The 13712-nt window shown below is 40.5% G+C and overlaps 1 protein-coding gene across 1 annotated transcript in view, besides 2 other annotated features; it reads right to left on the bottom strand.

The window, feature by feature from the left end:
* The window catches only part of RARB (retinoic acid receptor beta), a 768612-nt gene that overhangs the window by 635796 nt on the left and 119104 nt on the right, over positions 1–13712 (bottom strand). The gene's annotated exons all lie outside the window — the stretch shown is intronic.
* Positions 7167–7341: a silencer, noted in NCBI's record as "fragment chr3:24996287-24996461 (GRCh37/hg19 assembly coordinates)". NCBI's record gives its function as "represses an EF-1alpha promoter that drives an FKBP-Casp9 reporter gene in an ReSE screen in HepG2 liver carcinoma cells {active_cell/tissue: HepG2}" and the evidence as "EXISTENCE:reporter gene assay evidence [ECO:0000049][PMID:32094911]".
* Positions 9255–9843: an enhancer, noted in NCBI's record as "OCT4-NANOG hESC enhancer chr3:24993785-24994373 (GRCh37/hg19 assembly coordinates)". NCBI's record gives its function as "activates a minimal SCP1, AML or CMV promoter by ChIP-STARR-seq in naive H9 embryonic stem cells {active_cell/tissue: H9 hESC(naive)}" and the evidence as "EXISTENCE:reporter gene assay evidence [ECO:0000049][PMID:30033119]".

Genomic DNA, 13712 nt, shown 5'->3' with positions numbered 1-13712 from the left:
TAACACGGTGAAACCCCGTCTCTACTAAAAATAGAAAAAATCAGCCAGGTGTGGTGGCGGGCACCTGTAGTCCCAGCTACTTGGGAGGCTGAGGAAGGAGAATGGCATGAACCTGGGAGGCGGAGCTTGCAGTGAGCCATGATAGCGCCATTGCACTCTAGCCTGGGCGACAGAGCAAGACTCTGTCTCAAAAAAAAAAAAAAAAAAAAAAAAAAAAGACACCCAAAGGGAACACTAAGGTTTGTATGGCTATTTTTCTCACGTACGCACTTATAAGAAAACCAAAATGCTTTGTTTTTATAGACATTATGTACAGATGTACAGGGTGTTCTCAAGCCTAGATTAAATGGAGATAAACCAAATTAATCCATTTTAGTCATCGGCTTTGCCAATTGTCCAATGGTGTTTTGGAGCCTCAGTTTCCTATGACATTAATTCCCTGTTCTGAGTTGATCCATCACTTCCAATACTCTGAGATAACTGGACCGTCAGAACTCCATGCCCCGCCCTCCCTCCCCACAGTGTGGCAAGGTTCGCTGAATTCATCTGTCTGAACAACCTGGAAAGTCTCATATGATTCCTTCCATAGATAAAGAGTTATTACCATTATTAGTAGAGGATTGCTTGATCTAAAAACATTAATTCTGCTTTTACAAACTCTCTCAGATACAGAGAACAGCCAATTGTAATGTGATTTATCAATTTCAGCATCAGTTCATATCCATGAAGCTGAGTGATGAAGCCGTTAGTCTGTTAGGGAGATTTCAGTGAAAATGTGAATGTTACTTCCAGTTATTCATTGCACAATATTTGCATATTTATTCTTGGTCTGGAAAAAGGTGGAAAAATTAGAACTACCGTATAACTATTCTAGCAGGGTACCTGGCACAGTAGATGTTCAATAAATATTTATTTTTTTAATTGAACAACAGAATCTCTTTGGTGTCTCAACTAAAATTTGCAATCGAATTCTAGATTCCTATTTATCATTAATAATTATAATAGCAAAGTAACTTATAATGACAGAACAGTTCTTTTCAGTTTTCAAAAATGCTTTCTCAAGTCTCTTATTTAATAGTTTTATCAAAACAGACTGCATTAAAGAAATTTGACAAATAAGAAAATAGACTTGAGAGGTTAATTCCTGGCCCCTGTCACAGGCCCCTCTCACAGGCCCCGCCACTAGTTACCCTCAAGATTTCACAACCTGTTCTTTTCCATTCTGTCATTCCTAGTCATTGTTCCCAATCCTACCAAACATTTTTATGTGGATGTCAAGAGATACTCTGCCAGAAATCATACATCTTATTCTAAGATTTACTTTTTTAAAAAAGGAAAGTGTCAATGCGACACACCAAAGTTAAAAAAAAAAAAAATCCAAAGGCTCAATTCTCAACTGGCAATTACAATTTTCTCTTCCTTTACACAACGTATGGTTGTAGCTACCTTGCCAGGTGTTAAATCATTCCATTCACAGCATTTTATTCTGGTTTTGTTTTAATCAGAAGGAATAGATCACATATTTCAATTTAGCATACCTGGAAGGTGTTCACAATTTTCCACTTTCCACATTGTCTCTTGTCACCACTTCCTCTGCCTTACTCTGCCTCTTAGCCCAAGTATGCATACAAAGATCTGAGTACCCACAGGCACACACTCTCACAAACTGGCAGGATGTCTGCTCAATTGAAAAGAATGGAGCTCATCATAGGTTGGGAGAAAATATTTTCAGTGAGATTTTCTTTTCCTAGGAAACAAAATGTTTTTCCAAGAAACACATCTCAACATTTATAAAAGTCACTGTGCTGCATAACTTACTTTAAGCAGGTAGTACATATATTCATAGAATACACCAATTTCATAAGATACATTATCAAATAACATTTTAAAGGCAACCATCTGATATTCAAAGATGTGTGCCCTAAAAACTCCAATTTAAGTATTAGAGGTTTTTCCTCAAAATATAAGGCCATAATCCCATTATAACTATCAGGAGGTAGAACCTGAAAGGGAAAGAACATTATAGGAGAAACTAGAAGAGGAGGAGGTCTCCACATGTTCAGTTCCATCTTTTCCCCTGCTGCAATTTATTGATAGTTCAGTCTTTGTACCACTTATTTCAAGGATTAGCCACTGTCTTGGGATTGGATGGACTTGAACCCAAATCCTAAATCCAATGATTAACTGAGAGATCTCGAATAAGTCTCCAAGCTTCTCTGAACAACTATGTCTTAAAATGTAAAGATAATAATGTCAATTTTCTAGGGTTCTTGTGAACATTAAATAAGATGACTATAAACAAAGTGCTTAGATTAGGTGCTTCTCCTTCCTGCCTCATTCCCCTTGTTCTTTGCTTGTAGCCTCCCTTCCTCTCTTTTCTTTTTTGTGGAACATCAAGGAAAGATCACACTGTCAATTATCCTCTGGCTTTTCATTTTGTTTTAATCTCAGCCACATGTGATAGGGCCAGGAGGCAGAGGAATTCTAGACGGAAAAGGGCAGTGTCCCTGGCAAAGGCCACACCCTCAAGCCTGGAACCTCAGCCCCATGTGAGAACTTTACATCCCCATCTTCCCACTAGAATGCTGCTTTTTCCAAAACTACTCCTGGCCTACCCCGCCCCACTCCATGCTATATCGATAAAAAACCCTGTGTTTCACTGGCAGAGAGCAGAGAAGGGGAGAAGAGAAGCAGCAGCTGAACACCGGAGAGAAGTTTGACTCCAGAGGGATGGCTTGATGGTGGGACTTCAGGAGAAGAATACCTTCCTGCTCCATCCCCTTTCCAGCTCCCCTTCCCACTGAGAGCCACTTCCATTGGCAATAAAATCCTCCTCAGTAACCACCCTTCAATTCATTCATGTGACCTGATTTTTCCTGGACACAGAAAAAGAGCTCAGGGGCTACATGTGCAGATGCTAAAGGCTGTCACACTGACCCTCTGCCCTTGCTGGCAGAGAGCAACTGCCTCACATGAAAAGGCAGAGGGCCCACTCAGCTGTTTACCACTTAAGCTGTCCATATGGATGCCAGAGCTAAAAGAGCGCACTGTAACGCATGCCCTCTGGGGCTTCAGGGATTGCTGGTACTCCCTTTCCAGAAGCTACTGTGGGGCCTGCATTGAGTTTTGCTCCTGCTGATGCTCAGAAGCACTTGCCCTGCCTCCTGCACCGGCTCACCTGTGTGATCCCCCTCCCACAAGGGTTTGAGAGCTGCGGGCTGAGTAAGCAAGGCACTCCTGTCATGAGGCCCATGAAGGAGTCAGGGAAAATTTCCTGTTTCACGTGTTTGACTAAAATACTACTAGAAAAGACATGAAAAATCTCAACTGCAAATCTAAGACAGTGGCTATGTTGTCATATTATTTTCATGGCCAAAGACTTATCTCATCAGACATCAAGAAACATCTGATTAACAAATCTAAAATTTTACAAACTCCAGGACTCTATAACTTCTATTTAATTAAACACATGCTTTAGTTCTCTGCTTCTCAGAGTGGTTACCTCCATGAGGTTTACCCCTCATTATGTGCAAACTAGCGCTGACTACAGTCAGTCTGAAAGAAAGCACAGATAAATTCCTAAACAGTGAATGAAAAGGAAAAAGGGAAACCTAAAGAGAGCAGCAGGCATTTCTAAAAATCAGGGTGTGAGAGAATTTTAATGGCTCTGTTTTTTTGTTTTAATTAAATTGCCTTTATAGTTGCTTTGGCAGACGTCTGGGAACCAAATGACTAATTAAGAACAGAAAGAACAGTTTTCTCCTTGCCTTTATTAGAGGGCATATAAGGAGAATGAGTTTTGAGTAAACTATTAGTTCTAAAGTTCCCTGAGGGCTCCATGACAGCTAAAAAAAAAAAAAAAAAAAAAAAAAAAAAAAAAACCTGAGCAGCTCAGGAAGCTTCAGGTCTTCCTCAGATTCTGTGATTTTTTAACACGTCCAACAGTTGAATGCCTCCCTGTTATCCTTTGAGAGTTCAAAAATCTAACTATCAAAAGCTGCTGATCTAGGGCTCCAAGAGCCCTGCTGGAGTGTGTTGAACCTGGCTTGTCTGGGTTCACAAGAGCCAGATGTTAAATTTTTAGGATTTTGGTGAGCAGGTTGTTAAACACAGTCACCAATAAAAATTATCAACTTACAATTAAATTATGCTAAGAAAAAGTCAATACATTCTCAAAACTCCTATTTGCTAACTGTTGGTTGTATTTTACTATTATCTTGGAGTTATATACACCTATGTTATCTGTGTGGTATAAATACCGTATTATGGGAATAAGAACTGCTGTGATTATACTGGAGATATGATCACTTTTTGCCCTGCCTACCCACTCTTTTCTAACGGGATCTAACTCTGCCTGCATCATAGGCAGCCACATTTTATACTGACTGTCCTTTTCTGACAGCTGGTTGAACACAGTTGAGGTCAAATTTGAGTAAGTTACCTGAAAATGCTAATAATTGGCAAAGAACTTTGCTTGAAACCTCCAAATATTCAAAATGATAGACTAATAGTTTTAAGGCTCAAAGCATCTGGATAACAATGTTGATTTTTCAAATTCTGTAAATAATCATAGCTTTACTGAGAACAATCTTTTCTTCTTCTTCACAATTCTGGTTGTGTACACTGGATCTTTTTCTTTGGTCACTCTCCCAAAAGAACAGTAAAGCAAACTGGGAGAACATTTGACGTCTCTCCACTTCCACAGACTGACAACTCTTATGGGCTGTCGTCAGCTAGGGTTCCAAGTAAGACCCCTCAATAATATTTATAAAATAATGATTTTTGTTAAAACTTGAAGGTCTGGTTTTACATTTCCTAGGGAAGGACAAAATACTTTGGGGGTCATTCTAGGTCTCACAGTATCCTGAGAACAGCAAAGCAGCACTTTCCAGGCTGCTAGAATATATTTGGAAACAACTAGGGCTTCTGTGTTGGATTCTGTGGTGCTTTGTCCAGATTCCACTTCAGAAGTGAGGCACTCATTAGCCCTGCTGGAATGTTGTCTGCTCATAGCTCTTGGTGAAGGCCCTCTCTGGCAATTGCCCTCAGAAGACATCACCTTGTTCAATATTACTCCTCTCCAGGGGCAGCCAGCATCTAATAGTTGATTGGTACGAAATACAGAGGATCACCCCTTTGCCTCAATTCTGAACAATTCAAAATAGCATCTCGACTCCGTAACTCAGAGGGATTGGCCCATAACTGTACTGGCTGTTGCAACTGTATGAATTCCTCCTTCTCTCTGGTCCAGCTTTCCTCGTTCCCTTACAGGCATAGAACCCAAGGAACTTTCCAATAACCTTCCTGTGTACAAATATCTAGCGGACAGTCTGTTTCCTGGGGAAGTTGACTTAAGTTCACTTCCTAAGCCTTTGTATGACCTATGACCATGATCAGTCACTACAATGTTAAGAAGATCCAATATACCAGTCTTCATTAGACTTGAGACAAAATTATAGGTAATTTCATACATGTGACCCTGTTTAGTCATTTTTGGCAAATAGTCAACACATCTATGTATTACCTTCCCAGAGTACAGTTTCAAGCCACAAATGTGTCTGGGATTATAACAAGAGACACACAGCTTGAGACCAGGTTTCAGATCCTGGTTTCAGAGCCAGGCAGAATGTTTGTACTTCACTCACCTTCAAAGTATAAAAAATCAGCCCCAGCAACTCCAGACCATTGATACATGAGTATTGTTCATATGAGGGTGGTTACAAAGAGTTCAGTCACAAATCCAAAACAGCATTAGTTACTATTTGTTGAGTACATGGTATATATTAAGCTCTCTAAATAACATTCTCATTCATGATGAAGATATTATTATACACATTTGACAAATGAGAAAACTGAGACCTGGAAATGTTTCTGATTATTATCTTCATTGTCCCCTTCTCTCATCCTCCTCAGAGTGAACTTCAATGTCTGTCTTGTTGAAGCACAGAAAATGATTACCCAAAATGTAGTACTTCAGTATTCTCAGTACTTTGAAAATGGAAAGGCTCAGAAATGAGCCTCAGAACCAAGGTTTCTCTCTCATCTTTCTAACCCCGCTGTCCAACCCAACCCCTCAATTCAGAGATCAGGGACTCTCTGAATTTCCTAATCTGACGAAGACAGCCTGAGTGCAACTGTTTCAAGACTCCCTCCCTAGGAATTTCATCAAATAACCAAGAAAGATTCCAGGTCAGCCTCAAGAGAAGAGGAGACTGGATGTCATCCCTATGCCCAGAGAGATATTTTACCTATTCTTCCGAGGGCAACACTAAGAGATCGGCCAGGGGGCTTGATCTACATAAGACGACCACCTTTATTCCTGTGCAGCTCCACTCCCCGCCTTCCCTAAGGTCTGCCTCCCACCTCCAGGTACATTTATTCTCCCTGATGACTTATTGCTCCCGAAAAAAATTGTTAACATCCCCAGCTCCCTTCCACCCCCTAAAAAAAAGGGCATATAAGCTTGCGCACATTAGGGTAATCATTTTCCCTGGGATTCCACATGGAAATAAAATTTTATATGCCTTTTCTCCTATTAATCTGCCTTTTGTCAGGTGATTTTCAGCAAAGCCTCAGAGGACAAAGGGGAAACTTTCTCTTGGCCCCTACGCTGTTGATATGGACAGGAGGGAGGAAAATACTGGATAGAAGAGTGTGGTTCCCTGGCAAAGGCCCCACCCTCAAACCTGGAAACCACAGCCCTAAATGGGAACAGTTATCCCCGTTTTCCCACCCAAATGTTGCCTTTTTTGGCCTGCCCCACCCCTGTGCTGTGTTTATATAAACCCCAGACCTCAGCTGGCAAAGAGACAAGTGGCTGATTGTTAAGAGGAGAAACAACTGAGTGTTGGAGACTACAGACAGACGCAGCTTAACTTCAGATGGCATGACTTCAGAGAGGAGCCTGGCTAGAGACAGCTGGGCTTTACCTTCTTCTTACACCATCCCCTTTCCAGCTCCCCTTCTGCTGAGAGCCACTTCTGCTGCTTCATAAAATCCTCCACTTAATAAAATCCTCCGCATTCATCACCATTCAAACCCTTCATGCGACCCAATTTGTCCTGACTGCCAAAAAAGAACCTGGGTACCAAGAGGGCAGGATGTAAAAGGCTGCCACCCTGACTCTCCATTGAGCTGGTTAACACTTAGCAGTCCATGGACAGCAACTGCTAGAAGAGCATTATCTGTAACACACCCCTAGATACTGTCGTCGGGCCAGAGCCCCAAAACACTCCCCTGGCTCCTGCAACCACTCACCTGCATGCTCCCCACTCCTGCAAGGAGTTTGAGCTCCTGGCAGCCAGGTAAAGGAGTCACACCCTTTTTGCAAGTCTTATGAGGGAGTCAAAGGAACTTTTCCATCTTATTCTTATCTTAGAACTGCTTCCTTTCTCTACTTTCCTTCAGCTTGGGGAAAGAACCCCAAATTCTACTACTAAATCCATTAGCAATAATGACTCCACCCCCTTCTCTCCCTCTCTATTGTCTCTCACACCTTTCTGTAATGGGGTGAACCTAAATAGTCACTTGATTACAAGTCAATATCCCCAGGTTCTAGATTGATGGAATTGCTATTTATAAAACTTTCAGTGAATCACAAGTTCTCGGCACCCCAACTTTTAAATCTGTAAGATAAGGGGATTAAATTTATTCTATACTTTTTCTAAAGAGGACTCAGACCTTGACTTCTGATTTTGTTGTAATTTCCCATGTAGGACTCAGCTGCTGCTTAAGTCTGATTTTTTCAGGCTGTCAGCTTGCACTGCAGAGGAAGTAATAGAACTCAGCCCCCATTCTTACCCACTAATTCTACAAAGTCCTTTCCTATTATCCACACCAGTGGACACATGATGAATTTTGAGGTGGGTTTTTCAAGGTCCTACACCTCACCATCATTTTATAAAACATGTATATGTATTTGCTGAAATTGTCTATTGTTGTTTCAAGAATTGAGTGGCCTCACAATCTGGCAGGAGTGTTAGAATTTCTATAATTCCCAGAGGTACCCATAAAAAGAGCAGGAACAGAAAACAATGAGGCAGGAAAGTCAGACACATATGGGAAAAAGAATAGGGAGAAGCAGGAAAATAAGGAGAAAGAGAGAAAGGAAGAAACAAGTAAACAGTAAGGAAAAGGACAAAGAGACAAAACTCATCTGAGCGCTCAGAAAAGAAAGTAAGAACAAACAAAGCTCGATTTACTGTAAAATAAAGAAACCCTAGTGGTCCTGTGTCCACTGTTTTGCCCTCTAGCACTGGTCATATCCAAGCCTTTGAAGAAAGTTAACCTCCTGGACAAGAAGTCAAGTAGGAGTTGAATGGGCACGGCACACCATAAATGTGATAAGAAAAAGCTTTGGAAGAGTAGGGGAACGTATATGAGGTGGGAGTAAAGAGAGTTCTATTTTTGATTTGACAGAAGAATTGTTTTTGAAAAAAAATCTGTAATTTCCTAGGCACAAAGGCCTCTTCTGACATATGAGATCATTTATCTACTATCTATTCAGTGTCTATCTATCATCTAGCTATCTATCATCCAGTTATCTCTATGGCAACGATAACCATTGCAGGTAGGTGTTTTGACACTCCAGAGCCAAGCTTTGAGTTCATGGGATCTGTCGCCTGAGGTGAACACAATGTAAGAAAGTGCTCAGTCCTTTCTTAAATGCACTAGTGTTTCCAGAAGACTGCATTGCTCAGGGGTACTAAGTGAGGCCCTGGTTCTTTAAAGCAATTCTAACCAAGATGTTTCCATTTATTTTAGAAAATAAATCAGGTATAGATTGCTTTTTCAGGTTTTTGCTTCCTAATTTTCATTTCTTTTTTTTCTGATCTCCTTTTGAATATGCATTTCTTCCTCCCACCGTGCCTGCTGGCAAACTTCCAAGGATTTTTATCAAATGTTCTAGGGAGTGAATTACTCATTTTAGGTTATTTAAATGAAAGAGATGCATAATACCACTTCACATTCAAATTTCATGAAACCCTGTCCATGAACTCTTTTATCTACGTGCATCTATATGCCCCCAAACCCCAGCTCCAGCTCTCTACTAGCTCTCCCTAGAAGATATAACAGCTAAATGGAGTTCATTTAATACTAAACAAGCAAAGGGTTTTTTGGCCACAATGAGTAGTTTCAATAGGCTATACTATATAAATATTCTTTCATACTTAATATGCTTTGCGAACTATGTTATACCCTGAAATTATGCAGCTTCTGAGGCAAAAGAAAAAACAAAACAAAACAAACAAACAAAAAAAATACCAGTTTTACTGTTGGGGGTTGTTACCTTTTAAGGTAACAACCTTAAATTCAATGAGTTACATAGACAATTTAGGGAAATTGAGGATTGGGTTTGATGTTTTTGTAATGAATCTATCAGGGAAAGGGAGAAAAAAAGAGGGTGACAGGAGATAATGGGGGAGCGAGAGCTTTGAAAAGCAGGTACACAAAGCAGCAGCAGTCTTCAGTGGCAATTAATTGGTTTAATGAATGTTTACTGAGCACCTGCTGTGCCACGCACCAAGCTAGATAGAGACTGAGAGTGAGTAAAGCCCATGTGGTCTTTTCCTTCTAGGACTTGAAGGAGAGGCCATTCGAACTAGACAAAGGGTTAAGTCATGGTAAGCAGTTAGCGCCGGAGTGCAGGTAGTGGGGGATGGGGGGAGCGCCATTAGCAGAGAGTAGAATACATTTTAGTAAAGGAAAACCTAGAAAAGAATTTTTGAGAGGGTCAAAAACAAGTTTAAAATCTCAGATAATGTGTATTTCATTGGGTGGGTGGTATAAAAGTTGGGGGTAAATTCCTTCAATTAATATAAAAAGAAAATATTTGTTAGACTACATCTCACTAATCATTAATTGTGTAAATTTAATTCACTAAAAAAAAACAAATGTTACTTTTTGTTTGTTTGTTTGTTTTGTTTAAATAGACAGGGTCTCACTATGTTACCCAGACTGGCCTTGAACTCTTGGCTCAAAGGATCCTTCCATCTTAGCTTCCCAAAGTGCTAGGATTATAGCATGAGCCACTGCACCCAGCTGCAAATGTTACTTTCAAAAAAAGAAAAGTTATGGAGAAAGCTATTTTAATTGTTTGCATCTAGCTGAACAGATAGTAAAAGATTGCAATAATCACTTGAATACAGGGCAATTTGCAATGCACTGCATAGAGCAAGGGTGTATTACGTTTCCTATAATTAGAGCAAGGGTGTATTACGTTTCCTGTAATCCAAATTTGCAGAAACTATTCTCCAGAAGAAAACAAAGGTGAGTCAAATCCCTACTGGTGTTACCTGTAAGGTTAATCAATAAATTGTTTATCATGAATATATTTTTGTCCAAAAGAGTGGGGATTAAATGACCAAAGGAGCAGCATCTCTCCTCTCGCATCTTGTGCCCCTTTGGGGGGTCATTGGCATTGGTTTCCTATCAACTAAATGATTTTTATTCTCTCAAATATCTATAGACACATCCTTTTGGACTAGTGTTCTAGAGTGAGTGTACCAGAGACAGGCCCCAGAGCCTCACAATGGATGCCTAGTAGAGGGATGTAAGACATTATTGATCTTATATGTCATCGGACCCAAAACTTTGTCACTAGGAACACCAATCTTATGACACTTCTCAGCAAGCGTTTAGCTAGTCATGTAATTCTCACAGATCCTAAGCACATCACTCTCAGGATTACAACACTCTTCCTCTGGAGTGTCCGATGCCCTAAGACAAAGCCTAACTTGTCAGCACTGCACACGTGGCCTGTTCTCTGGCCATGGCTCCCTCCTCTCTGCATGCTCTGGATGCACTGACTCACATCCAGTTCTTCAGAGTACTGTGATTTTCCTCCTCTGCATGGGATGTGTCTTCTAACAAGGAGCCTCCTTTCTGCCTCCCCTCCTAAAGGTCTGGCCTACTTCTAACACCATGACTTGGAGCCTGGTTGGAAATGCAACCACCCCTCCTTGAGTGGTAAGAGTGTGCACATAAAGCCCTCTGTAGGATAAGCTTCTCTCCCTGCCCTGTCATCATAAAATTCACTGAAAAAGTACTTTCAAAGCATTTTCTCCAGAGGGAAGTACTCCCAGAGATCCCTACTAGCTTGCCCTGCTCTTCTTGTCCTTCAGGTCTCCAATTCTCCCAGTCCTGCAACTGGGTTTGGTGACACACAGAAAAACCCTCCTGAGACCATCTAGAAGTGTTGACCAGATTCCAGGGTGTCCCACCACCATTGTTTGATTCAGCAGGGTGGAGGTAGTTGCATTTCTATGCCAGGCACGTTGATGGTGCTGGCCCAGGGACCACACTTTGAAAAATTACTGCACTACATTATGCTTTATTTTTATTAGTTGGTGTGTTCAAGCTCTTATATAATATTTATATGATATCCTCTCTTTCTCTTGCCAAATCACCTTTTTTTTTTTTTTCCTTTTCCTGCTTCCTCTTCTCCTGCCTATACCCTAGGTCTTCCACTAACCCTGCTGGGTGTTGTTTAGCTGTGCACATAGCAAACATGACAACAATGGTTCCCATCTCTGGCTCCGTTATGTTCACCTCTAAAATATCAGATGTAGCTGTGCATTCTGCCAGGCAAGCTAATCTGTGATATTTCAAATGCATTTCCTGAACCAGAAAAAACTAGCATATTTGAGCAAAGCTGTGTTCTGGATATATTAAAGTGTAAAAAACTGGCATGAAAATCAGGTCTCATGTAAACAGGAGATTATTATTACTTAGAATCCTATAATGTGCCCCATCATATGGATCTCTAGGGCATTTGCAAACCCATTTTTACATAATTATGTGAAGAACATGTATTTTATATGAGATGGTGAAATTAAATACAAAATAGGGCATTTTGAAATGGCTGTAATGTTTTAAATGAAGAAATGAAACTGTTTCGAGACATATGTAGGAGAGAAAATTTATAGACGGCAGTTTTTAAGAGGCTCTATTAATTCCGAAGAAAACACAGAATGAAAATGAAATACCTAAAGAATAAAATGAGAGGTCTCCCATAAAAATCAGTCTTTGTGATTCAAGTGATTAGGCTTGCTTTCTAACAATATGAATTTTACAAGGTGATGCTCACCTACATTAACATTTCAATGGCACAATATTTTTGTTACACATTGTTGCAACTGCTATAATCTGTCCTTTCGCTCTTCCCTCTGTTATTGGGTGTGATCCAAAGGTACAAAATATGACTGGCTGGAGAATCCGGTGTCAGTTTCCTTACCAGTGCCAATGTAGGCTAGTATTTTTTTTTAACCCAGTTGCCGGATATTGGAGGAAAAAGTAAAGGAACAAATCAAATTCATCTTGTGACCATTCAGAAAGCAACCAACTGATAAACTAGCTTTTGGAATTAAAGAGTACTTTATCCTTTCTCAGAGACTGTAGCGTAATGTCCGGCACAGAGGGGAATCCCAGGAATGCTAAGATCTGAATGCATTTTAGATAGAATTGAAGGATTCAAGAAGTAATATTCTCACCTCAAAATAGTCACATTTTGTTTTCAATACAATCAAAGGATTCAAGAAATACATATTCTCGCCTCAAAATTTAATAGTCACTTTTTGTTTTAAATTTTCTAATGCAACATATATCCTTATGGAGAGCATAAAAACGTAAATGTGAAATCACATTACAAACCTTAAATTGCTATGAAGTTAGTTATTTTAACAATTTCCCTTTCCTCCTATTTGATCTTCGATTTTACCGTGCACCCTCTTCTTAGTAGGCGAATTGAAGGTCTACCTACTTGTACAATATGTTCAGGGGGGAAGGGTAATTATATTTTTTCCTGTCTCAGAGGAGGTCCTTGGGATGTCTACATCAGCTCTGACCAGGAAAGATATGTGTTTCTGTTACACTTTTTCCCATCTGCAACACAGCTGAAAGAGAATCATGACTGTTCACGCCTGGTCAGCAAATACTCCAATACCTTTGACATTGGAAAGCTCTGGTTCTAAAAGACGGGGAGTAGGAAGTGCAGTGACGTTTCCCAAGTTGGTAGGCAGATGCTGACATGGGTCAAATGGTAACCAGGGCTGAGAAGACCCAGGTCTTTCAGCAGGAACAGAATATGTCCTTTGACCTTGCCCTGCAGTAGAGACAGCTACTGTAATGGTTCATTACAGCAGTTCATTTCTGTGTCACTATAAAGGAACATCTAAAACTGGATAATTTTTAAATAAATTATAATTGTCATGGTTCTACAGGCTGTACAGGAAGCACAGTGCTGGAATCTGCTTCTGGTGAGGGCCCCAGGATGCTTCCAATCATGGCAGAAAGCAAAAGGGAGCAGGCACGTCACACATGACAAGAAGGGAAGCAAGAGAGGGAGAAGGGGGAGGTCCCGCCAGATCTCACATGAACTTAGTGAGAACTCATTCATCACCAAGAAGATAGTGCTAAATCATTCATGAGGGATCTGCCCCCACGATCCAATCCCCTCCCACCAGGCCCACCTCCAACATCTCGACATGAGATTCGGAGGGGACAAACATCCAAACCACTAAGACAGAGCTTCTCCATGGGGAATAGGTAGGGAAGGGATGGGCCATTAAATAACACTCAATCACAACATGAGAATATTTTTACCTCTTCAATTGTCTTTCAGTCTGGATGAATAGAAGGTCTAGAGGTTTGCTAGCCTAAAAGAAAGGAACTTGATAGAAAGGATGGGCATAAACAAACATCTTTTTAGCTTC

This window comes from Homo sapiens, chromosome 3 (genome assembly GCF_000001405.40).
Source record: "Homo sapiens chromosome 3, GRCh38.p14 Primary Assembly".
In the NCBI taxonomy this organism is placed as follows: Eukaryota; Metazoa; Chordata; class Mammalia; order Primates; family Hominidae; genus Homo; species Homo sapiens.
Note: the sequence above shows the minus strand (reverse complement) of the source record. Positions and strands in the feature narration are given on the sequence as shown.